This window comes from Homo sapiens, chromosome 10 (assembly GCF_000001405.40).
Source record: "Homo sapiens chromosome 10, GRCh38.p14 Primary Assembly".
Taxonomy (NCBI): domain Eukaryota; kingdom Metazoa; phylum Chordata; class Mammalia; order Primates; family Hominidae; genus Homo; species Homo sapiens.
Window position 1 is genome coordinate 115,297,454 of NC_000010.11, and position 26,730 is coordinate 115,324,183.

At 35.2% G+C, this 26,730-nt stretch overlaps 1 protein-coding gene across 11 annotated transcripts in view; it reads left to right on the top strand.

The window, feature by feature from the left end:
• ATRNL1 (attractin like 1) overlaps positions 1-26,730 on the top strand; it is an 855,635-nt gene that overhangs the window by 204,089 nt on the left and 624,816 nt on the right. For all 11 annotated transcript variants that reach the window (NM_207303.4, XM_011539587.2, XM_011539588.3 and 8 more), the window contains 3 exons: positions 2,581-2,794; positions 4,402-4,590; positions 18,065-18,283. In NM_207303.4, the coding sequence (NP_997186.1) occupies positions 2,581-2,794; positions 4,402-4,590; positions 18,065-18,283 (622 nt within the window). The remainder of the gene's footprint in view (positions 1-2,580; positions 2,795-4,401; positions 4,591-18,064; positions 18,284-26,730) is intronic.

Consider the following 26,730-nt stretch of genomic DNA (forward strand, 5'->3'; position numbering starts at 1 on the left):
ACACAATGAAACCCCGTGTCTACTAAAAAAAATACAAAAAAATTAGCTGGGCGTGGTGGTGGGTGCCTGTAGTCCCAGCTACTCAGGAGGCCGAGGCAGGAGAATGGCGTGAACCCAGGAGGTGGAACTTGCAGTGAGCCAAGATCGAGATTGCGCCACTGCACTCCAGTCTGGGCGACAGAGTAAGACTCCGTCTTAAAAAAAAAAAAAAAAAAAAGGGACAATTACCAATGAACATGTGAAAATTAGTTCTCACTACCACTTATGCAGAGCTTATTATTGGCAGATTCAAATTCCCTGATATTTAGAAAGTACTGATATTTGATATTAGAACTCTGTTGTTTTCTTTCTTGCTTAAGACATATTATTTTTAGTTCTTACAATATAACCTTGAAATGTGCTTTTTTGAGATTGCATATTTCAAGATTGTTATGTTAGTGTTCACTTTTTCTTCCCTATTATAAATAATAATGATTGAACTAATAATTATTTTGAATGTGTGATGAACTTAGACTTGATAAGTTCATCACACATTCAAAAGTTCCATTTGCTAAGGAATGTGATGCTAACTAGCATGCCCTGTAAATGAAGAATGTTTTGGTTTATCAGAAAGCTGAACTTCAGCAAGATTTCAAAGGTGGAGACTTCTGCAAGGTGACATTCAATTATGCATATCTTTATATAAAATGAATTCTGAGTCATTACAGTTGTATAAACTGAAGATAACCCTTTTTTGGCAAATAAAGATTGACAAATTCATGCACTTTATAGAGATATCTTGGGTCAAATGATCATTTACTTATCAGAAATGGCTAATGAAATGTTACAGTGATTTATGGTGTGCTGCAGTAAATTTTCATAATATAGTTATTTATCTTACATAAGATAATGAACTGCCTGTCCAGTTCATTTACTGAGTAATAGTTACTTTAAATGTTTTATCAGCAGCTCCATTTTTCTGTTTTCCTCCTCTTCCTCTCAGATTTTTATCACGATGAGTTAGGGAGTAATATTTCATTTTAAATGACTTGTCTTGACTATAGATAGTTCAGGGATATAGGCAGAATTGCTGTCATGTGAAACACAGTTGTTAATCTGAAATATCTATGTTGAATTGACTCCTGCTGTTATTATCAAGAGCTATAAGAATGTTTTAGGTTTTTGCTTATTAAAATATTTTTCAGAATAATATATGAAATATATGCTGGTCACAATGTGAAGCAGCATGTGTGTTTTTATAATTAGAAGCATTATTTATTAAGTACCATCTTTGTTTTAGGCACTGTGCTGATGATGGAAGATAACAATTTTTATTCTAATGAATTTTGTTTAGCAAAATTTACTGATTACCTACTATATGTACAGTACTTGGGCAATATCAGATCTATTGTCATAACAAGAATTTATAAGATATTTAAATTTTATCCAAGAAACATTTGTTGAGTGTTTACTATGTGAAATTTATTGTATTTGTACTCTGCACACATTTCTAGGTGTGGCTATCTTTTAAGATCTCTAGGACTATATGCACATCATAATTAGAATAAATACTGGATATAAATATCTTATTTCTATGTTGTTAATGTCTAAGGTGGAGAAACATTTTTCTCTATCCTGGTACTCCATAATGTTTAAAAAAAAAGAACAATGTGGAGTTTTGACATCATTTCACATTGTAATATAATATTGGTAGCTTAGTATTTTGGAAAATAAATCTATTATCATATATATTAAAATAGAGATGTTTATAATATAAAAAATTGTAAAGATTAGTAACTTGGATCATGAATATATCATTTTTAATATAAGAACATTTTAAAATTGAGTAATTATTAAGGTTATAAATATGGTAAAGATTTTTATTTCAAGTTAATTTTGAAATATTACAGCATTAAGAATAGTTATGTAGTATTTGTCAATCTTAGTTAAATTATAGGCACGAGCATCAGATTTTATTACTTTTGTTGTTTTTTGTTAATAAAATTATATGACATAAATTTATCCAAAAATCATATAGAAGTCCAGATTTATTTGTAGACGTCTGAGCTAAGAGAGAGGCAGTTATTCTTCTGTAAGTCTTTTTGCTAGGTCTTGTTATGAAGTCTTCACTCAGACTCTATATATTGTTTGTTGATTTTATTTTCTAGTTTCACAATGCAGATAATGGCAATTTATCTTTAGAGTCTTAATCCTATAACTGATTACATTGATAGTAGTAATAGTAATAGAAGCAGCAGCAGCAATAACAATATGTTAAGTTTTTAAATAATCCTACCTTATCAGATAGATAATTATATCTCCACTTTATAGAAGAGTAAACTGAGGTTCATGAAGGCTAAATAAATTATTCCAATCATGTAGCTAAATATAAAACCTGTGTTTTAAAAACAGTGTTCTATTCTACATCATTCTCCAAAATATGCTATAATTGTTAATTATTCTTAGTACTAAAACTCATTAGAAAGGCAGCTTTATATATTTTCAAATATAATTTTTAATGATAGTGAACTATTTGCTAAGGAATATGCCATATTTTTACATCTAACTTTCTTTGAATGCCCCTTTTCCTGTTGTTTACAGAAAGTATCACCTTGGGTAGGCTTGCGCAAGATCAATATATCCTATTGGGGATGGGAAGACATGTCTCCTTTTACAAACACAACACTACAGTGGCTTCCTGGCGAACCCAATGATTCTGGGTTTTGTGCATATCTGGAAAGGGCTGCAGTGGCAGGCTTAAAAGCTAATCCTTGTACATCTATGGCAAATGGCCTTGTCTGTGAAAAACCTGTTGGTAAGTAGTCCAGTAAATTAGCATTCCTTTAAAAGTATGTTTCCCACCCATCTTCTCATTCCTTCCTTCTAGGGTGTAGTCTTATTCTATGATATTTATGTAAATTTTATTTTTATACACATTCTTCCCCACTTACTATTAGTGATCTCAGCATTAACTTGTGAAAATAACATAATATTATTATTTTATGCAAACTTTGTTGGTTCAAATAGTGAGATTGTGGTTGTAGTTACTTATAATATGACAATAATCTATTCTTAATTCATTAATGTCTTTTACTTTTATCATGATAGTGTTTGGGAAGAAGATTTGCTTTTAAGATTAATGGCTAATTGGGACTCCTTTTACTCTTGTAGACATATTTCAGTTATCAAGTAAAAAGAAACATTTTTGTTACATCTTCTGAAATGGATTTTTGTTAAGTAAGAAAGGAATATTGAATTCTTTTCTTTTAAATCTTATATTTTTATCATGGTAAAATGTACTTAAAATTTACCATTTTAACCATTGTAAATGTATTTTAATGCCAATTCAATGGCATTAAATACTTTGACACTGTTGTGCAAACATCATCACCATTTAGCTCCAGAACTTTTTCATTTTGCAAAACTAAAAATCTGTACCCATTAAACAATAACTCTCCATTTCCTCCACCCCACCCCCTACAGTCCCTAGCAACTACTGTTCTACTTTCTGTCTCTATGAATTTACTACTTCAGGTACCTCATATGGTGAAATCATACAGTATATGTGCTTTGTGACTGGCTTATTCCCTTAGCATAATGTCTTTAGGGTTTAACCAAGTTGTAGGATATATGAGAATTTCCTTCCTTTTTAAGGTTGACCAATATTACATTATATGTAAATACTACATTTTGTTCATCCATTCATTTATCAATGGATACTTGCGTTGCTTCTACCTTTTTGCTATTGTGAGTAATGCTGCTATGAATGTGGGTGTATGAATAACTGTTCAGCTTCTTGCTTTCACTTCTTTGGGGTATATATATATAGCCAGAAGCAGAATTACAAAATAATGTGGCAATTCTGTTTTTCACATTCCCACCAGCAGTGCACAAAGGTTTCAATTTCTCTCCATCCTTGCCAATATTTATTTCCTATTATTTTTAAATAATGGCCATCTTAAAGGCTGTGATAAATATTGTATCTTGTGTAATATTTTATGATAAGCTGTATTTTTATTCTTTGTTTATATCAAAGACATGTTCACTTACAGGACATTTACTTTGTAAGATGTGGAATGCTATGGAAAACGTGGCTGGGAAAAAATTGTGGCTGGGAAAATAAACAGTGCTGGTATACAAACTAGGTCATAGATTACATTACTGCTTATAATACTTAAAATTATACAACTTTATATACTTTGTAAAGAATTACAAATTTCAAAGGAGTTATACATTTTCAAATTTAATAAAAATTTTAAGAAGTATTGATATATCATCTTTGTTTTTATCTACCTCATCATATTATAATGCCACAGTTGGCTTAATTGAAACATGCCCTGAACAGCAAAGCAAAGAAAACCCATACAATTGTGTTAACATGAAGTTAAAAATGAAATTATTGTATTTGTTTATTTATTCCAGTTAGTCCAAATCAAAATGCGAGGCCGTGCAAAAAGCCATGCTCTCTGAGGACATCATGTTCCAACTGTACAAGCAATGGCATGGAGTGTATGTGGTGCAGCAGTACGAAACGATGTGTTGACTCTAATGCCTATATCATCTCTTTTCCATATGGACAATGTCTAGAGTGGCAAACTGCCACCTGCTCCCGTAAGTATTTATCTAGAGTGACTTTTCACTTGACAGCAACGTAAATTTACTTTTCTGTGATGTAAAGAAGAATTAAATATTTGAAGAAGTTTCAAAAAATGAGAAAAAATATTGTTACGGCTACTTTTGAAACCAACTGGTACTGTTAACCTCTGATTTTTATTATATCATCATTTTGCATGCCACTAAGTATCTTACCCTAAATATTAACATATTGCCACATATGTACAGCCTCTTTTCCCTGAACTGTGTGTATGTTGCAGACAGTATAACACTTCATGAGAGTGTTCACCTCAAACATCACAGATTGCTTTGGTGAGCCTTTTTAGTATCTTTTAATCTAGTGCAATTCCCATATCTTTTCCTTATATGACTTTGATATTTTTGAATAACCTATACCAATTGTTTTGGAGGTTTCTCAATTTGGATTTGTCTAATTTTTCCCTCATGATTAGATTCAGGAAAGCATTTTGGGGCAAGAATATTTTATCAATGTTGGTATATCTGCTACAAGTATAGAATGCACAGTCTTGAAATCACATAGAGTTATGTCAGCAGGGCAGTACTGGGCTTGCTATGAGTTATACTTCAGGAGAAAGATTTTGCCCCTTGCTGATCTCTCATGTTTTCTAAGGACTATAGGATAAGGCTGCACCTGAATGAATATTTAATACTGGGTACTATGTGGTGAGAGTGGCCTTGCTTACAAACACAAATGGCGTCAGAATACAGCTGCCAAGGGAATTGCATAATGCTACTGGGAGCACTTGTTAGCCTTGTAGGAACTTAAGACCGTGTGAAACTCTTTCTGCTTGGGAGAAAAAAGTGCCAATCTTAGCTAGCTTCTTCATAGCAGAGAATATGGTTTATCTTTCTGCAATCCACTCTTTGACACTGACGCTCATCAAAAATATGCCTTTTCACCTGAATTAATTGGTATGTTCAGATTTGGAACAAAAAAGTAGAAAGTTTTACTTACTCCTGCTGCTCTCATGACCTGTTTCTCAATGTTGGTTGCATTCATTCATATCCCACTCATTGGTATCTGTCCCTCTTGTAATTAATCCAGACTTTATGTCCTTTTTTTTTTGAATAATATACTTTTCAGGGGCCCAGTAGTTACCATTCTACCACCATAGAAAGCTGCAGAATCACCTGAGATAAAGTTGGTATGCAGGTTTTTTTTTTTTTTTTTTTTTGAGATGGAGTCTCACTCTGTGGCCCAGGCTGGAGTGCAGTGGCCTAATTTCAGCTCACTGCAACCTCCACCTCCCTGGTTCAAGTGATTCTCTTGCCTTAGCCTCCCAAGTAGCTGGGACTACAGGCATGTGCCACCATGCCCAGCTAATTTTTGTACTTTTTTTAGAGATGGGGTTTCACTGTTGGCCAGGCTGATCTCGAACTCCTGACCTCATGATCCACCCAGCTCGGCCTCCCAAAGTTCTGGGATTACAAGCGTGAGCCACCGCGCCCGGCCGGTATCCAAGTTTATGTCCGTTGAGGATGCTTTGATTTGAACAAAGCAAAATATCAGTTATTTGGTAAAGTCCAAACAGACAAATAAAATCAGAAGTTCTTTTGCTTCTTTTTCAGTTCCCTTCTTCTCAACATCTGAGTGTCCAGGAAGCTCACAAAGAAAAAAGGAGCAAGACTCCTTGGATTTTTTTTTCTTCCAATACTTTAACCTGCAGTAAACAGGATTTGAAATGAGTGAATCTAATTAACATGTTGGTGTGTTTGATCCAGGTTCCAAAGAAACTGTAGTTACAGTTCAGTCAAAGGAGACAAAATAACAGCCACTTGGAGTCTGGTGTATCTATTAAACTCAGGAATATGTTGTGGTTGAAATGTATTCAATGAGATAGGGAAAGCAACAGTTTCCCTCTCTATACAGGAATTCTCTCCAGGGGATCTTTATCCCGATTCTAATTCCTTTCTCCTAACAGCCCTAAGTTCTCCACTATCATCATCTCTCTTCATTTGTCATATTTGAAACTTTTAAAGGTCAAAGGTCCATTTTAGGTTTTTGCATCAGTCCACTGGTTTCCCTCTGACCCTTTCTCTCCAGGAAACAGCCACTTGGAGTTTTCCTAGGAGTGTAGGCCATAACACAGCTTGTTTCTATAACGTTCATAAGTATCTTCAGGACTTTCTTATTAGATCATTGACTTTCTTGCAGTCCCTCCATAGGAGCAGCCACTGGCAGCCTGACTGATGAAAATACAAACAACTATCCCAGCAGCAATATTTATTTTCTGCCCGTCCACTCTTCCTTCCCTCCTTTGAGCTTTCTTGTTTTTCCTCTGAGAGGCAACCCATTCTAGTTAGCAATTATAGTAATGATATGGCTCCCATGAGTGGAGGAACACCAGGGCTCTTGTCTCACGTTGAATTAGATTAAACAATACGGACACACGTGGAGTGGTTTTAAGGAGCAGAGAGTTTAATAGGCAAGAAAGAAAAGAAAAGGCAGAAGGTTCGCTCTTACAGAGACAGAGGGATGGGGGCTCCACAGCCGAAAGAGGAAACCCCAAGTGTGGTGCGTACCAGGCAGGTATATGTAGAGGCTGGAGGAGGGGGTGTCTGATTTGCATAGAGCTTAGGGGATTGGTTTGACCAGGCTTTCATTCAGGTAGCCCTCGGAAAAAAACTGGCCTTCCCACCCTAGCCTTTTAATATGCAAATGCAGGGCACCATGATGTTCTACACACATGGGGATATGTGGGGCGGCCATATTCCCAAATACATGTGGGGCAAGGGCAAGAGGACAAAGGTGGGAATCGCCATGTTGAGTGGACCCAGTTTCTAATGGCTTGCATATGCATACTAAAGGTTGCCGGCTTGGCTCTAAGAGCTGGGACTTTTCTGTTAGACAAGAAACACTTTTGGAGGTGTTTTAAAAAGAAATGAAAACTTTCCAAGGACTCCTTTTTTCTCTATCTGCCTAAAATAATTTCTTAATAACTTCTATCACAGTAACTTCATAATTCTGAGATCCCTGTTGGTGGTAAATCTAGTATGTTGAAGCCTGTAAGTGTATGGCCCTTGGACAACATGGTCACCCAGTTGATACTAGTCCTTCTTGCTCAGATGAGTCATCTTCCCATTTAGAGGTAGCCACTGCATAAGGCAATGCACGTAGAGACTTACTGACTTTCTAGGCCTTTCATCACTCTCAGTGGTCCAGTCAAATATGTATTTGGTCCATAGTGGGCACCACTGTTACTTGAAGAGCTAAGGCAAAACAGTAACACAATGCAGGCTGGAATCCCAGCTGCAGCTGTTGTGTTCATTTGTTCCTTCAGGCTCTTGGCATGAAGTGGAGAGGTATGCCTGGGATGGACATGGTTGGATGTATTATGAGTTGAGCTCCCTGTTGATATCCTTTTTTAGGGATTGTGGTAAGGAATGGGGGTGTTGTACCTGATCAAGTGGGTGGCAGTGTGGTGGTTGCAGGCATAAAATGGCCTTTGTGCATAGCAAAACATTTCAAAACTAGGAGCCAGCTGCCCAGGAGAGTTGAATACAAGAGTTGAAGACTTGTGGGGAATGAGACAATGCGCACCTTCTCCTGCCTCAATAGTCATGCTTGTCTCTCGACAAACATTATTGTTCAATGAAAGAAGCTAGACATGAAAGATTACATACTGTTTGACTACATTTAGGTATAAAGTTAAAAAATAGTCAAAACGGCACTGTATTGTTTAGAAATGCGTATTTAGGTGGTAAAACTATAGAGTAAGGCAAAAGTGTATTCTCAAAAATGTCAGCTAGAGGATGTTGCTGGGGGAAGTTTAGGGGTGCTGATTAGGAAATGAAACAAGAGAGGCAATGCTCCACTTCTAGGCTTTGTGCAGGTCCAGAGTGTGTGTTTATAGGAATTTATTAATCTTATATTTTTCTTTATGTAATTGTATGTGTGTTATATTTCACAATAAAAGAGGCTAGAAAGTAGGGAAAAACTGGTTTGTGAAAGTCTAAGCTCTTATACTCTTAACAACTTTCTAAAAATTATTTAGAATTAAGCTTATGTTGTCACAAATTTTTCTTATATCCCATTCCTTCTCATTTGTTCTACTTTTTTGTTTTTTTACAATTTTTTTTGGTGGTATAACACACATAACATAAATTTTACCATTTTAACCATTGGTAAATAATCTTTAGTAATTTCTTTCAAATAAATTGTGACATAAACTTTTGAGTCTTTGCATGTCTAAAAGTGTACTTTTCATTTTCACTTGAATGATAAAATGGCTAAATGTGGTATTCCAAATAATTTTTTCCTTGGAACCTCTTTAGCACTCAGTGTTGTGGATAAGAATTCCAATGCCAATCTAATTTTCATTCCTTTGTGGAACATCTTTTTTATCCCCCCTTTGGGAGCTTTTAAGATTTTTTTCTTTCTTGTTGGCATTCTAAAATTTTTCATTGTTTTAATTCAGTTTTTCAGTGATTGATGTGGATCTTTAAAATTAATTTTTTTTTACAGTTTTTCATTGAAGAAAAGGATTTTTAGATTTTTTAGATTTTCTCATTGGCTCTTTAAATCTGAAGAGTAGTTTGTTTCTTCATCTGCTAAAAATGTTGTGTAATGTCTTAAAATACATGTTTTCTTCTCTTTACTCTTGTTGCAAATATTAAAATAGTTGCTGGAACTTCTAGATATATCTTAATATTTCTTAACTCTGTTTGCATTTTTTGTATTTTTGTTTGCTAATATTTAGCTATTTTTCTTTTTATAATCCTTTGAGACTTTTTATTTATTTGAAATAAGTTTTTTGAGAACAATATAATTATACAGTGCAAATATAAAAATTGTTGTAACTGATTTTTTTTGAGAAGGTTAATGAAACATAATTCACTATTTTAACACAGGTATGAATTAAATTCTACCACTGACAAATCAAATAATGATAACTAAATACCGCTGGTGGGATTGTCAGCTAGGCAAGCATAAGTCAGGTCTTCAGGTCTGCCATTGTCTCTCTTGTTTTTGATCTTTTGCTTCTTTTGTTTTCTTGATTATTATAGAGGCTTCATTGTCTACTTCTACCATTTGTTCCTTGAGCAGATAGTCTAGTTTGCTATTTTTTCTCCTCTATAGTTCCTTTCTCTGTTCTGTTGTCATGTTCGCCTTTCCTGAAGCTGTGTATAGATCATTTGTGCTGATAATGTCCAATACTACTCTAACAGTTATTTCTATTTCACAGGGTTTTTTTGTTGGTTTTTGTTTTTTTGAGACAGAGTCTCGCTCTGTCACCCAGGCTGGAGTGCAGTGGCACAATCTTGGCCCAGTGCAATCTCCGCCTTCTGGGTTGAAGCAATTCTCCTGCTGCAGCCTCCTGAGTAGCTGGGACTACAGGTGCCTGCCCCATGCCTGGCTGATTTTTGTGTTTTTAGTAGAGACGGGGTTTCACCATGTTGGCCAGGCTGGTCTTGAACTCCTGACTTCAAGTAATCTGCCCACCTTGGCCTCCCAACATGCTGGGATTACAGGTGTGAGCTACTGCGCCCGGCCTCCACAGGTTTTTTATTATACACCCTGTGTGTCGTTGTGGGGAAGAAGGGCATTGAACATTGCCTCAAGGAGACTTTGTATTTCTGAAAGAAGTAGTTACCTGGCAGTGATCCACTGTTTGTGAATAATGAACTCCTTCATTATGTTTAATTTTTCCCGTGTTTTTAACCAACAGACATTTGTAGAGTAGTGAAGAAATGCCAGGAAGTACAATAGGGACTAGGAGTAAAATGACATTCTTGTTCAAAATACAAGTTAAAAGTAGCTGAGTGTTACTCTTTCATAGGTGTCAGCTTCTTGGCAATGGTTTTAGTGTGCTTTTGACTTTAACTTTATGACTTTTCAGGATAAATTATATATATTTACATTATCGTTTTCTACTACACGTCTATTCATTTAACATTTGAGTCTTTAAAATATTTTTATACTTATCAACAAAACTTTGTATTGGAAGTGGTCTTTTAGTTGCCTTCAGAAAGTTGCCTCAATGTTCATTTGAGGTTTACTGGTAAATAGAAATTAAGGCAAACTTTTCTTTGGAAATGAGAAACAAATAGGATTTTGCAATATTCTCCAGTATTTTTCAGTCATAATATTGTGATATCATTGTTTAAAATTCACGAATTGAAGAGAGGAAATGTTTTTTAAGATAATTTTTGACTAATGGTTTCTGAGAAAGCTTTGCTAATAATTGGCATTATTAGTAATTGATATATTTTGGGTAGACAGATATTCTACTTGTGAAAATGAATTCCAGGGCAATGTTTAAAGAAAAATAGGAGATTTAGTCCCAAATGTATAAAGGTTCAAATGAAAATTCAATTAAATTTGTATAGTAAAAATAGAATAATACACAACTTGAGGATAAGGTGTTATCTCACAAATCTGTATTTTTTTCAGTATTTGTAAGTTTATGTGTTCAATTTAAACACTTCAACAATTAAGGAAGGTAATCATTTTTAAAATTTGATGACAATTTCTTACAGATTGATTTTTTAATATTCTTACCCATTTGAAAAACCATTTTGAATATTTTACAACTTGATCTTTTGAAAAGCCAAAAATAAATAAACAGGATTGCTCCAATTAACCATATTTCATACAAGTCCTTATACTACACATAACTTTAGGAACAATAGCATAGCCTGCATAAGGTTTCTCATATATTATCTATTTTGCTGTGTAGAAGCTTTTGAGTTTAATTAGGTTCCTTTTATGTATTTTTGTTTTTGTTGCATTTGATTTTGGGGTCTTAGTCATAAATTGCTTATGCCAATGTCCAGAAGAGTTTTCCTGAGGTTTCTTCCAGAATTTTTATGGTTTCAGGTGTTAGATTTAAATCTTTAATCCATCTTGAGTTGATTTTTGTATATGGTGAGAGACATAGATTCAGTTTCATTCTTCTACATATGTTGATCCAGCTATCCCAGCACCATTTATTGAATAGGGTGTCCTTTCCTCAATTTATGTTTCTGTATAATTTGCCAAAAAATCAGTTGGTTGTAAGTATTTGGCTTTATATCTGGGTTCTCTATTCTGTTCCATTTTTCTGTGTATCCCCATTTTTCTATGTATCTACTTTTATACAAATACTATGATGTTTTGATTACTATAGTCTTATAGTATAATTTGAAGTTGGGTAATATGATGCCTCCAGATTTGTTATTTTTACTTAGGATTGGTTTGGCTATTTAGGCTCTTTTTTGGTTCTATATGAATTTTAGGATTATTTTTTCTAATTCTGTGAGAAGTGATGTTGGTGATTTGACTGGAAGTGCACTGAACCTGCAGATTGTTTTGGGCAGTATGATTATTCTCATGATATCAGTTCTTCTAACCCCTGAGTGTGGGATGTGTTTCCATTTGTTTTTGTCATCTATGATTTCTTTCAGCAGTGTTTTGTAGTTCTCCTTGTAGGGATAGTTTACCTGCTTGGTTAAGTATATTCCTAGGTATTTTATTTTTGCAGCTGTTGTAAAAGGGGTTGAGTTCTTGATTTGATTCTCAGGTTGGTCATTTTTGGTGTATAGCAGTGCTACTGATCAGTGTACATTGTTTTTGTAACCTTAGACTTTACTGAATTGATTTATCAAATCTAGGAGTCTTTTGGAGGGCTCTTTAGGGTTTTCTAGGTATACAATCATATCAAAGTCTTTAGGGTTTTCTAGGTATACAGTATAAAATCACTTCATAGTCTTTAGGGTTTTCTAGGTATACAATCATATCATTGGCAAAAAAGGGTAGTTTGACTTCCTTGTTTCCTATTTGGATGCCCTTTATTTCTTTCTCTTGCCTGATTGATCTGGGTAGGATTTCCAGTACTATATTAAATAGAAGTGACGAAAGTGGGCCTACCTGTCTTCTTCTAGTACTTAGAGGTAATGCGTTCAACATTTCCCCATTCACTGTTATGTTTGCTGTGGGTTTGTCATATATGGCTTTTATTATTTTGTGGTATGTTCCTTCTCTGCCTAGTTTGTTGAGGGTTTTTAATTATAAAGATATGCTGGATTTTAATGAATGCTTTTCCTGTAATTATTTGAGATTATCATATCACTTTTGTTTTTAATTCATTTTATATGATGAATCATATTTATTGACTTGCATATGTTGAACCATCCCTGGGATGAAACCTACTTGATCATGATGAATTATCTTTTTGATGTGCCACTGGATTCAGCTTGCTAGTATTTTGTTGAGGATTTTTTCATTTATGTTCATCAGGGATATTAGTCTGTAGTTTTCTTATGTTCTTCCCTGACTTTGCTGTCAGTGTGATACTGGCTTCATAGAATGAGTTAGGAAAAATTTCCTATTTCTCAGTCTTTTGCAACAGTTTCAGTAGGATTGGTACCAATTCTTTGAATATCTAGTATAATTCGGCTGTGAATCCCCTGGCCCTTGACTTTTTTTGGCTGGCAAATTGGTATTACTGATTCAGTCCCGCTGCTTGTTATTGATCTGTTCAGGATTTTGATTTCTTCCTAATTTAAGCTAGGAGAGTTGTGTGTTTCCAGGAATTTTTCCATTTCCACTAGATTTTCTAGTTTGTATGCATAGAAGGGTTCAGAGTTGTCTCAAATGATCTTTTGTATTTCTGTGATGTTGTTTGTAATGTCTCCATTTTCATTTCTAATTAAACTTATTTGAATCCTCTTCTTTGTTAATCTAGCTAATGGTCTATCAATTTTATCTTTTCAAAAAGACTAGTTTTCATTTCATTGGTCTTTTGTATTTTGTTGCTTTCAATTTTATTTAGTTCTACTCTGAGATTTGTTATTTTATTCTGCTGGCTTTGGATTTGGTTTGTTCTTGTTTCTCTAGTTCTTTGAGATGTGACATTAGGTTGTCAGTGTGTGATCTTTCAGACTTTTTGATGCAGGCATTTAGTACTATAAACTTTTAGCACCACTTTTGCTATATTCAAGGTTTAGATAACTTATGTCACAGTTATTGTTCTTTTTGCAGAATTTAAAACTTTCCATCTTGATTTAATTGTTAACCCCAAAATCGTTCAGGAGCAGATTGTTAAATTTTCATGTATTTACATAGTTTTGAAGGTTCCTTTTGGAATTGATTTCTAGTTTCATTCTACTGTGGTCTGAGAAGATACTTGATATGATTTAGATTTTTTTTTTTTTTTTTTGAGACAGAGTCTCCCTCTGTGGCCCAGGCTGGAGTGCCGTGGCACAATCTTGGTTCACTGCAACCTCCACCTCCCGGATTCAAGCAATTCTCCTGCCTCAGCCTCCCAAGTAGCTGGGATTACAGGCACATGCCAGCATACCTGGCTGCTTTTTGTATTTTTAGTAGAAACCGGTTTCACCATGTTGGTCAGGCTGGTCTCAAACTCCTGACCTCATGATCCACCCACCTTGTCCTCCCAAAGTGCTGGGATTACAGGCGTGAGCCACTGCGCCCAGCCGATTTTGATTTTTTATAACTTATTGAGACTTGTTTTGTGGCCTGTCATATGGTCTATCTTGGAAAATATTCCATGTGCTGATGAGAAGAATGCATATTCTGCAGTTCTTGGGTAGAATGTTCTGTTAATATCTGTTAAGTCCATTTGTTCTAGAGTGTAATTTAAGTCCAGTGTTTCTTTGATGACTTTCTGCTTTGATGATCTGTCTAGTGGAGTGTTGAAGTCCTCCACCATTATTGTGCTGCTGTCTATCTCTTTCTTAGGTCTAGTATTGATTGTTTTATGAATTTGGCAGCTCTAGTGTTAGGTGCATATATATTTTAGATTGTAATATCTTCTTGTTGCATTGATACTTTTATCATTATATAATGAACTTCTTTTTTTTTTCTTTACTGTTGTTCCTTTAAAGTCTGTTTTCTCTGATACAAGAATACCTACTCCTGCTTGCTTTTGGTTTCCATTGGCATTGAATATCTTTTTCCACCCCTTTACCTTGAGTCTATAAGAATCTTTAAATGTTAGATGTGTCTCTTGAAGATAGCAGATATTTGCTTTGTGGTTTTTCATCCATTCTACCAGTCTATGTCTTTTATGTGGAGCATTTATACCATTTACATGTAACATTAATTTTGAGATGTGGGGTACATTTCTAGTCATCATGTTGATTGTTACTAGTTACTTTGTTTTCTTCATTGTATTATTACTTTATAGGCCCTGTGAGTTTTATACTTTCAAGAGGTTCTATTCTGGTACATATTGACCTTTCATTTTAAGATTTAGAACTCTTTTTAGCTTTTCTTGTAGGGCTGGTCTGGTAGTGACAAAATCCTTAGCATTTGCTTGTCTGAAAAGGACTTTATTTCTCCTTCATTTATGAAAGTTAGTTTTGCTGGATACAAAATTATTGGCTGGCAGTTATTCTGCTTAAGGAGGGTAAAGAGAGAACCTTGATCCCTTCTGGCCTGTAAGGTTTCTGCTGAGAAGTCTGCTATTAGTCTGATAAGTTTTTCTTTATAGATTATCTGATACTTTTGTCTTAGTGCTCTTAGAATTCTTTTATTCATGTTGACTTCAGAGAGAATGATGACTATATACATTGGTAATGTTGTTTGTGCAATGAATCTCTCAGGAGCTCTTTGAGCTTCTTGTATTTGGGTGTCTACATTTCTAGCAAGGCCAGGGGTGTTTTTCTCAAGTTATTCCCTCAAATAAGTTTTTCAGATGTTTTTCTCTTTCTTTTACCTCAGGAACACCAGTGATTGTTAGGTTTGGCTGTTTTACCTAATCTCATATTTCTTGGAGACTTTGTTCCTTTTTTAAATTATTTTTTCTTTATTTTTGTTTGATTGGTATAATTCAAAAGCTTTGTCTATGAGGTCTGAAATTATTTCTTCTACTTTGTCTTAGAGTAGTATTTGTCTAAGACAAAGTATTGTTAAAACTATCCACTTGCATTTTGCAATTTTCTAAATGTGCCTTTCATTTCCAGAAGTTGGTTTCTTTTTTTAAAATGTATTATTTTGTTAAAATTTTTATTTATATCCTGAATTGTTTTTTTACATTTTCTTATGTTGGTTTTCACTTTTCTCTTTTATCTCCTTGAGTAACATAGTAGTCAACCTTCTGAATTCTTTATCTGGCATTTCAAGGATTTCATCTTGGTTTGGATCTATTGCTGAAGAGCTAGTGTGATCTTTTTGGCAGTATTATAAAACCCTATTTTTTCATATTGCCAGAATTATTTTTCTGGTTCCTTCTTATTTCTGTAGGTTCTTATAATTATTTTTGAATTTATTTTTGATTCAACTGTGCTTTTTTCATTTCTTTTTTCCCCTTGAGAATGTGACTTTAATGTTTGTAGTTTATTTTAATCTAATTTGGCTCTTGGTGCTTTCAGTCATGAAGGCTCTGTATGAGTTCCTTGGTCATAGAGAGCCTTTTCATGGTGGCTTTCTCAGATACTGGTTGTAGTAGTGATGTGCTCCATTTATAAGTAGGTGCACTGTCTCCTGTGGGGTTGGAATGGCAGAGGTATCATGAAGCTTATTTCATTCGCCAGTGGCGTGTACTTATTTATTTATTTATTTATTCTTTCCCCAGTATTTTATTCACTGGGTTGAACAATTCAGACTTTAGGTCAATAGGTGGTGTCCACAGGTAAAATCTGGCTGTTGCTAAAGCAGGTATCATGATCCTTTCTTAAGAAAAGATAGTTTTAAAATAAAACTTACTTTCTTAGGAAATACCTGTATAACAATATTAGAAAATTTGATTTATTCAGGGTGAGTCCCACTAAAGATTTACTTTCTCCTCACGTGATATATGATACAAATCATTACATGATAGTAAATAATTGGAATGCCAAGCCAATATTACTAATTAGATATTTTCCCTTATGTCCTATTGATAGCATAGTAACCCAATATACTTTTGAAAACAATTAGAATAAACTAGTTAACAATACTGTGGGCTAACTGTAATCATAGATATACAATAAATGTTTTAAACCAACAAAACTAAGGAGGGACATGGTAAATAGGAAATGTTCAGTTATCTAAGGATTTTTAAAACTGTGTCATTTAGCGCTGTGTACTGTTGAAAAAATGTAAGATTTTAAAGGAAGACTGTGTCAATGAATTATTTATCTACAAATTTAACATTAGCCACTTTTATTTAATGACTCAAAGAGTATTCTTCCTTTTTTATTTCTTATTAAGAAAATACAGGAGGTGATACGTACTCTCTACCTTCCTATGAAGGCATGAGATCCTTACCTCTCAAAGGATTGACAACTACAAATAATGTTATAATTGGTAAATTTTTTAAATCCAGTATTCTATTATCTGTGCAGAGTCAACGATATCAAGTTCCTGATATTCACTGAGAAATTTGTGCCATTGTTTGTAGTTTTCTTAGGAATGTTTTTGTTTTAAACACTGAGTGGCAGCTGAGCCATTAACATTATACAATGAAATTGAGTCTGCCAGAAATCTACCATTTTTTCTTCCATTGTTTTTTCTTTCATGTGACTAGAAGACATCATTCATGATGCCGTGTATGTCTGTCAGTATCTTCTATTTATAAACAATCCCCAAGACAAAATATAATATTCCTAGCTAAATAATAGTAAAAGTAACTATGTAAATAGGAAAAGACTCTCAGCTTAATGTAAGATGCTTTGGTTGTTAAGTAAAGGTTTAAAACATTTCATAGCAATGGCTATGTCTGTGGTGTTTGACTATAATGTCTGCTTATCTTTGGCAAACTTCACCATATTCATAGGCTTTGTTGAGTCTCATAGGTTATACCTGAATCAAAAAACAAAAAGACAAAAAACCAACAACAACAAAGGTTGAGTATCTGCAAATGAGTCATGGAGTGTTATTTTATAGCCCTGAAAACTAGAATGTGTGCTCTGGTTGCCTGGCTGAAGGAGAGTACCAGGTTTTCATGTTCCCATCCAGCTTGGCTTTTTGGATGAGATTAAGTTTATTCATCACATAGTAGCCAAATACTAGTATCTTGGACCCTTGTGAGGAGCATTGTCCATAATAGGTAGTCCAAATATAGCCCAGCAATCTCAGGAAATGGGCAGACGTCACTTATACTGGATGTCCACAGGCAGAATACAGAGTTCTTTCATTGAATGTCCTTACGAGGCACAATAAGAATGGCTAACATGGATTTATATCACAGACAATAATAAAGGTGGTCTGTAGGGCCCTAAAAGTTCTAGTACTGCCAAAATTTTCAGGGGTCTTCAATTACTGATTTTATTTTTCTCCATGTCATGGTTAACCACACCTTTTTTCACTCCTGTGGTGGCCTGTTTATCTCCTCTTTGTTTGTGATGTATGTTTTATTTGCTTTTAGTAATTGCTGTCTCTTAAGTATTATTGCAAAAATGTTTGCATTAACTATAGATGACCTTTCATGGTTTTTATCATGATCATATTTATTTTTTATTAGCCTATAATTCTGTTTGAATATATAGTCATGTTAACATATTTGTCAATGTTCCTGTCACGCAGCTCAAAATTGTTCTGGATTGAGAACCTGTGGACAGTGTTTGGAACAGCCTGGATGTGGCTGGTGCAATGATCCTAGTAATACAGGAAGAGGACATTGCATTGAAGGTTCTTCACGGGGACCAATGAAGCTTATTGGAATGCACCACAGTGAGATGGTTCTTGACACCAATCTTTGCCCCAAAGAAAAGAACTATGAGTGGTCCTTTATCCAGTGTCCAGGTAATAATAATGTAATGGAAACAATTTCAGTTTCTGCTTAAGGGATCCAAGAAGGAGTTTTTGTTCTTATAATAAAGAAAATTTAGCTTTAGGAAAAAAGCAGAATGAAAATGAGACTAAAATGTCAAAGATAAAAAATTATTCCATAGACTATATCTATCTCAGTTTATGCAGGTGGTATTCAGTTTAGAATCATTAGATAGGCTAAATGAATTCATGGAATATCATGATTAGCTTTCATTTCTTTTTTAATATTTTGTTATTTAGTTTAAGTTTTGGGATACATGTGCAGAACGTGCAGGTTACATAAGTATATGTGCAACATGGTGGTTTGCTGCTCCTATTGACCCATCCTCTGAGTTTCTTCCCCTCACCCCCAGCCCGGCAACAGGCCCTGGTGCATGTTGTTCCCCTCCCTGTGTCCACGTGTTCTCATTGTTCAACTCCCACTTTGGAGTGAGAACATGCAGTGTTTCGTTTTCTGTTCCTGTGTTAGTTGGCTGAGGATGATGGCTTCCAGCTTCATCCATGTCCCTGCAAAGGACATGATCTCATTACTTTTTATGGCTATGCAGTATTCCATGGTGTATACGAACCACATTTTCTATATCCAGTCTATCATTAATGGGCGCTTGGGTTGGTTCCATGACTTTGCTATTGCAAGTAGTTCTATAATAAAGATACATGTGCATGTGTCTTTATAGTAGAATGATTTATATTCCTTTATGTACATACCCAGTAATAGGATTGCTGGGTCAAATGGTATTTCTGGTTCTAGATCCTTGAGGAATCACAGTGTAAAAACAAGCCTCTTTCTCCACAGCCTCGCTAACATCTATTGTTTCTTGACTTTTTAATAATCGCCATTCTGACTAGTGTGAGATGGTATCTCATTGTGGTTTTGATTTGCATTTCTCTAATGATCAGTGATGTTGAGCTTTTTTTCATATGTTTGTTGGCTGTGTAAATGTCTTCTTTTGAGAAGTGTCTGTTCATATCCTTTGCCCAGTTTTTTACGGAGTTGTTCATTTTTTTCTTGTAAATTTGTTTAAGTTCCTTGTAAATTCTGGATATTAGACCTATGTCAGATGGGTAGATTGCAAAAATTTTCTCCTATTCTGTAGGTTGCCTGTTCATGCTGTTGATAAGTTTCTTTTGCTGTGCAGAAACTCTCTAGTTTAATTACATCTTATTTGTCAATTTTGACTTTTGTTGCAGCTGCTTTTGGGATTTTCATTATGAAGTCTTTGCCCATGCCTATGTCCTAAATGTTATTGCCTAGGTTTTCTTCTAGGGTTTTTTATGGTTTTGGGTTTTACATTTAACTGTTTAATCCATCTTGAGTTAATTTTTATATAAGGTGTAAGGAATGGGTCCAGTTTCAGTTTTCTGCATATGGCTAGCCAGTTTTCCCAGTACCATTTATTGAATAGGAGATCCTTTCCCCGTTGCTTGCTTTTGTCAGGTTTGTTGAAGATCAGATGGTTGTAGATGTGTGGTGTTATTTCTGAGGTCTCTGTTCTGTTCCATTGGTCTACATCTGTTTTGGTTACTGTAGTCTTGTAGTATAGTTCGAAGTCAGGTAGCATGATGTCTCCAGCTTTGTTCTTTTTGCTTAGGATCGTCTTGGCTATATGGGGTCTTCTTTAATTCCATATGAAATTTAAAGTAGTTTTTTCTAATTCTGTGAAGAATGTCAATTGTAGCTTGATGGGAATAGCACTGAATCTATAAATTACTTTGGGCAGTGTGGCCATTTTTACGATATTGATTCTTCCTCTCCATGAGATAGAATGTTTTTCCAGTTGTTTATGTCCTGTCTTATTTCATTGTGCAGTGCTTGCTTTGTAGTTCTCCTTGAAGAGGTCCTTCACATCCCTTGTTAGCTCTATTTCTAGGTATTTTATTCTCTTTGTAACAATTGTGAATGGGAGTTCATTAATGATTTGGCTCTCTCCTTGTGTATTGTTGGTGTAAAGGAATGCTGGTGATTTTTGCAAATTGATTTTGTATCCTGAGACTTTGCTGAAGTTGATTATCAGTTTAAGTAGTTTTTGGGCTGAAATGATGGGGTTTTCTAAACTTAAAATCATGTCATCTGCAAACAAAGAAAACTTGACTTCTTCTCTTCCTGTTTGAATACCCTTTATTTCTTTCTCTTACCTGATAGCCCTTGCCAGAACTTCTAGTACCATGTTGGATAGGAGTGGTGAGAGAGGGCATTCTTGTCTTGTACTGGTTTTCAAAGCAAATGCTTCCAGCTTTTGCCCATTTAATATGATATTGCTGTGGGATTGTCATAAGAAGCTCCTATTATCGAGCTGTGTTCCATCAATACCTAGTTTAGTGAGAGTTTTTAACATGAAAGGATTTTGAATTTTATCAAAGGCCTTTTCTGCATCTATTGAGATAATTGTGTACTTTTTGGCTTTGGTTCTGTTTATGCGAGGAGTTACGTTTATTGATTTGCATATGTTGAACTAGCCTTGCATCCCAGGGATGAAGTTGACTTCTGGTGGATAAGTATTTTGATGTGCTGCTGGATTCGGTTTGCCAGTATTTTATTGAGGATTTTCACATCGATATTCATCAGGGAAACGGGCCAGAATTTTCTTTTTTTGTTGTGTCTCTTCCTGGTTTTGGTGTCAGGTTGATGCTGGCTTTATAAAATTAGTTAGAGAGGAGTCTCTCCCTTTCAGTTGTTTGGAATAGTTTCAGCAGGAATGGTATTAGGTCATCTTTGTACCTCTGGTAGAATTTGGCTGTGAATCTGTCTGGTCCTGGGCTTTTTTTGGTTGGTAGGCTATTAATTACTCCCTCAATTTCAGAACTGTTACTGGTCTATTCAGGGATTCAGCTTCTTTCTGGTTTAGTCTTGGGAGGGTGTGTGTATGTGTCCAGGAACTTATCCATTTCTTCTAGGTTTTCTAGTTTATTTGCATAGGGGTGTTTATAGTATTCTCTGATGGTAGTCTATATTTCTGTGGGGTCAGTGGTCATATCCCCTTTATCATTTTTTTATTGTGTCTATATGATTCTTCTTTATTTTCTTCTTTATTAGTCTAGCTAGCATTCTCTCTATTTTCTTAGTTTTTCAAAAAACCAGCTCCTGAATTCATTGATGTTTTGGAGGGTTTTTCATGTCTCTATCTCTTTTAGTTCTGCTCTAATCTCAGTTATTTCTTGTCTTCTGCTAGCTTTTGGATTTGTTTGCTGTTGCTTCTCTAGTTCTTTTAGTTGTGATGTTAGGGTGTCGATTTGAGATCTTTCCAGCTTTCTCATGTGGGCATTTAGTGCTATAAATTTTTCTCTGAACACTCCTTTAGCTGTGTCCCAGAGATTCTGGTATTTTGTCTCTTTGTTCTCATTGTTTTCAAATAACTTCTTTTCTGCGTTAGTTTTGTTATTTACCCAAGAGTCATTCAGGAGCAGGTTGTTCAATTTCCATGTAAGTGTGTGGTTTTGAGTAAATTTCTTAATCCCGAGTTCTAATTTGATTGCCCTGTTGTCTGAGAGACTTTGTAATGATTTCAATTCTTTTCCATTTGCTGAAGAGTGTTTTACTTCCAATTATGTGGTCAATTTTAGAATAAGTGCCATGTGGCACTGAGAATAATGTATATTCTGTTGATTTGGGGTGGAGAGTTTTGTAGAAGTCTATTAGGTCCACCTGATCCAGAGCTGAGTTCAAGTCCTGAATATCCTTGTTAATTTTTTGTCTCGATCTGTCTAATATTGACAGTGGGGTGTTAAAGTGTCCCACTATTATTGTGTGGGAGTCTAAGTCTCTTTGTAGGTCTCTACAAACTTGTTTTATGAATCTGGATGCTCCTGTATTGGGTGCATATGTATTTAGAATAGTTAACTCTTCTTGTTGAATTGTTCTCTTTATCATTATGTAATGCCTTTTTTTTTGTCTTTTTAAATCTTTGTTGGTTTAAAGTCTGTTTGTCAGAGACTAGTATTGCATCCCCTGCTTTTTTTTTTTTTAACTTTCCATTTGCTTGGTAAATTTTCCTCCATCTCTTTATTTTGAGCCTATGTGTGTCTTTGCCTATGAGATGGGTCTCCTGAATACAGCACACTGATTGGTCTTGACTCTTTATCCAGTTTGCAAGTCTGTGTCTTTTAATTGGGGGATTTAGCCCATTTACATTTAAGGTTAATACTGTTATGTGTGAATTTGATCCTGTCATCATGATGCTATCTGGTTATTTTGCACACTAGTTGATGCAGTTTCTTCATTAGTGTCATTGATCTTTATATCTCGGTGTGTTTTTGTAGTGGTTGGTACTGCCTTTTCCATTCCATATTTAGTGCTTCTTTTAGGATCTCTTGCAAGGCAGGCCTGGTGGTAACAAAATCCCTTAGCATTTGCTTGTCTGGAAAATATTTTATTTCTCCTTTTCTTATTAAGCTTAGTTTGGCTGGATATGAAATTCTGGGTTGAAAATTATTTTCTTTAAGAATGCTGAATATTGGCCCCTAGTCTCCTCTAGCTTGTAGGGTTTCTGCTGAGAGGTCCACTATTAGTCTGTTGGGCTTCCCTTTGTAGGTGACCTGGTCTTTTTGTCTGGCTGCCATTGACATTTTTGCCTTCATTTCGCCCTTAGAGAATCTGATGGTTATGTGTCTTTGGTTGATCTTCTCATGGAGTGTGTTAGTGATGTTCTCTGTATTTCCTGAATTTGAATATTGGCCTGCCTTGCTAGGTTGGGGAAGTTCTCCTGGATAATATTCTGAAGTGTATTTTCCAGCTTGTTTTCATTCTCCCTGTCTACTTCAGGTACTCCAATCAATTGCAAGTTTGGTTTCTTTACGAGGTCCCATATTTCTTGGAAGCTTTGTTTCTTTTCATTCTTTTGTTTCTTTAGTCTTGTCTGCATGCCTTATTTCAGCAAGGTGGTCTTCAAACTCTTAGATTTTTTCTTCCACTTCGTCACTTCGGCTATTGATACTTGTGTTTGCTTCATGAAGTTCTTGTGCTGTTTTTTTTTCAGCTCCATCAGATATTTATGTTTCTCTCTAAACTGGTTATTCTAGTTAGCAGCTCCTCTAACCTTTTATCAAGGTTCTTAGCTTCCTTTAGCTCAGCGTAGTTTTTTATTACCCACCTTCTGAAGCCTACTTCTGTCAATTTGTCCATCTCATCGTCTGTCCAGTTCTGCGCCCTTGCTGGAGAGATGTTGTGATCATTCGGAGGAGAATAGGCGCTTTGGCCTTTGGGTTTTTGGCATTTTTGTTGTTGTTGTTGATTCTTTCTCATCTTCTTGAGTTTGTCTAGTTTTGAGTTTGAGTTTCAGTTTGTCTGTTTTCTTTGAGGCTGTTTACCCTTGGATAGGGTTTTTTGTGGGGCCTTTTTTTTGTTGTTGTTGCTTTCTGTTTGTTTTTCTTTCAATGATCAGGTCCCTCTTATGTAGGACTGCTGTGGTTTGCTGGGGGTTCACTTCAGCCCCTATTCATCTGCTTCGCTCCTGCCCCTGGAGATATCACTCAAGGAGACTGGAGAACAGTACAGTTGGGTGCCTGCGCCTTCTTCTGGGATCTCTGACCTTGAGGGTCAGCAAGTCTGTGTCTTTTAAGTGGAAAGTTTAATTTGTTTACCTTAAAAGTTACTATTTGATATGTGAGGGCTTATTTATGGCATTTTGTTAATTGATTTATGGTTGTTTTATATATCCTTTGCTCCTTTCTTATTGTTTATCATTGTGGTTTTTTAGTTTTCTGTAGTGGTAGCATTTGAGTCCTTTCTCTTTCTTATTTGTGTCCTTGCTTCGTCAGGGAGTTTTATACTTTCATTTGTTTTTATGATGGCAAATATTGTCCTTTCACTTCCTGAAGCGTCTGTTTCAGGTCTTGGCTAGTGGTAATGAATTTCCTGTTTTTGCTTGTCTGAACATAGCTATCATAATACTGAAGAGGGAAAGGTGAAAGCTTTTTTTTTTTTTTTTTTTAAAGAACTGGAACAACACAGAGATGCCCACTTGCACCACTCTTGTTTAACATAGTACTGAAAGTCTTCAGACTGAGCAATTAGGCAAAAGCAAGAAATTAAATGGATCTAAATTGGAAAGAAGGGAGTCAAATTGTACCTGTTTGCAGGTTACATAATCTTATATGTAGAAAAGCATAAAGATTCTATCAAGAAACTGTTAGTACTGACAAATGAATTCAGTAAAGTTACAGAATGCCTAATCAACACACAAAAATCAGTAGCATTTTCATACATGAACAATGACTAGGAGAAAAGGAAATCAAGAAGGTAATACCATTTACAGTAGCTACAAATAATTAAAATACTTAGGAATAAATTTAACCAAGGAGATGAAAGACCTAGAAACTTTTAACATATACATTTTAACTTGTTAAAATATTTTTCAGATTTATATTACTACCAGTGAGATGTAATAATGTTATTCATATAGGTCTATTCTTTTTCTTCATTTTGGTCTTATTTTTGCTACTACATCTATATATGTTGTGGACCCAACAGTACTTTAATAAAATTATTACTTTATATAATTTTATATCTTTTAAATAATTTGAGTGATGAAAGGAGGATAAGTATATAGTTATAGCTTTTATTATATTAATCTTTTTACCATTTCTGGTTTTCTTTATTTGTTGCCATGGCCCCAAACCATCAGGTATCATACCTTTAGCCCAATACAGGTTTTCTTGACTCACCTATTTTGTGCTTTTATTGGCAAACATGTTACATTTTTATGGTTATAGGACAAATAATACCATTATATACATATATTTAAAAATAATTCCTTAAAAATATCAGGTAATAGAAAAAAGGAAAATAAATATGCATTTCCTATTTTTATTATTACACAGTAATTACCAGTACTGTTTTTCTTTTTGCATGGAGTTGAACTACCGTCTGGGTCACTTGCTTTCCTTGAACAACTTCCTTTAGTATTTCTTGTATGGCTGGCCTTCTAGCATCTCATTCTCCTAATTTTTTAATATTTAGGAATGTCATTATTTCTCCAATTTTCTAAAGGTAGATTTGCTTGATAGAGGATTCTTAGTTAGCATTGTTCTTTTGAGTATATATTATTATACTGCTTACTGGCCTCTATTATTTCTGATTTAAAATCAGTTGTTAATCTTATTGGGCTTTTTTGTAAGTGAGAAATGATTTTATCTCTTTCTTCTTTCAAGATTTTGTCCTTGTTGCTTTCATCATTTTAATTATAATGGGTCTTTTTGTGGATCTCTTTGTGTTTGTCCTATTTAGAGTTTTTTAGGTTTCTTGGATGTGTAAGTTAATATTTTTCATCAAATTTGAGTTTTCAGAAATGATGTTTTCAAATAATTTTTATTTTCTTTTCTCTTTCTCCCTCCTCTCTTTCCAGTGTTTCTATTATTCATGTGATGGTAAAATTAATGATGTCCCATATGTTTTTCCAAGCTCTGCTTACTTTTCTCCATTCCTAGTTCTCTCTGTATTTTAGATTATATAATCTGTCAGTCTATCTTTAAGCTTGCTGATTATTTTTCTACCAGTTCAGATCTTCTGTTGAATTCTTCTAGTGTATGTTATTGTACGTTTCTACTTCATTTGTTTTTTTCTTAAAAATTTTTATTTCTTTGTTGATATTCTCTATTTGATGAGACATTGTCATCATACCCTTCTTCTTCAGGCATGATTTCTCCCTCCCCTCCCCTCCCCTCCCCTCCCCTCCCCTCCCCTTCCCTTCCCATTTATTTATTGAGACAGAGTTTCACTCTTGTTGCCCAGGCTGGAGTGCAGTGGCGCAATCTCAGCTCACTGCAACCTCCGCCTCCTGGGTTCAAGCAATTCTCCTGCCTCAGCCTCCTGAGTAGCTGGGATTACAGGCATGTGCCACCACACCTGACTAATTTTGTATTTTTAGTAGAGACAGAGTTTTGCTGTGTTGGCCAGGCTGTCCTTCAACTCCTGACCTCAGGTGATCTGCCCACCTTGGCCTCCCAAAGTGCTGGGATTACAGGCATGAGCCACCGTGCCTGGCCCGTTATTTTTTATATCTTTAATTATTTTTGAATATTTTTGTCTCTTTTTTTTTCCTGAGACAGAGTCTCTGTTGCCCAGCCTGGAGTGCAGTGGCGCGATCTCGGCTCACCGCAAGCTCCACCTCCCGGGTTCACGCCATTCTCCTGCCTCAGCCTCCCAAGTAGCTGGAACTACAGGCGCCTGCCACGACGCCTGGCTAATTTTTTGTATTTTTAGTAGCGATGGGGTTTCACCGTGTTAGCCAGGATGGTCTCGATCTCCTGACCTCGTGATCTGCCCGCCTTGGCCTCCCAAAGTGCTGGGATTACAGGTGTGAGCCACCGCGTCTGACCTATTTTTATCTTTTATGTGTATTCTTTGTTTAAATCAACTCTCTCTCTTTTTTTAATCTCCTGGTTTTTATGGTGTTTTTGAATTTTTTATTTTGAGATTTAATTTA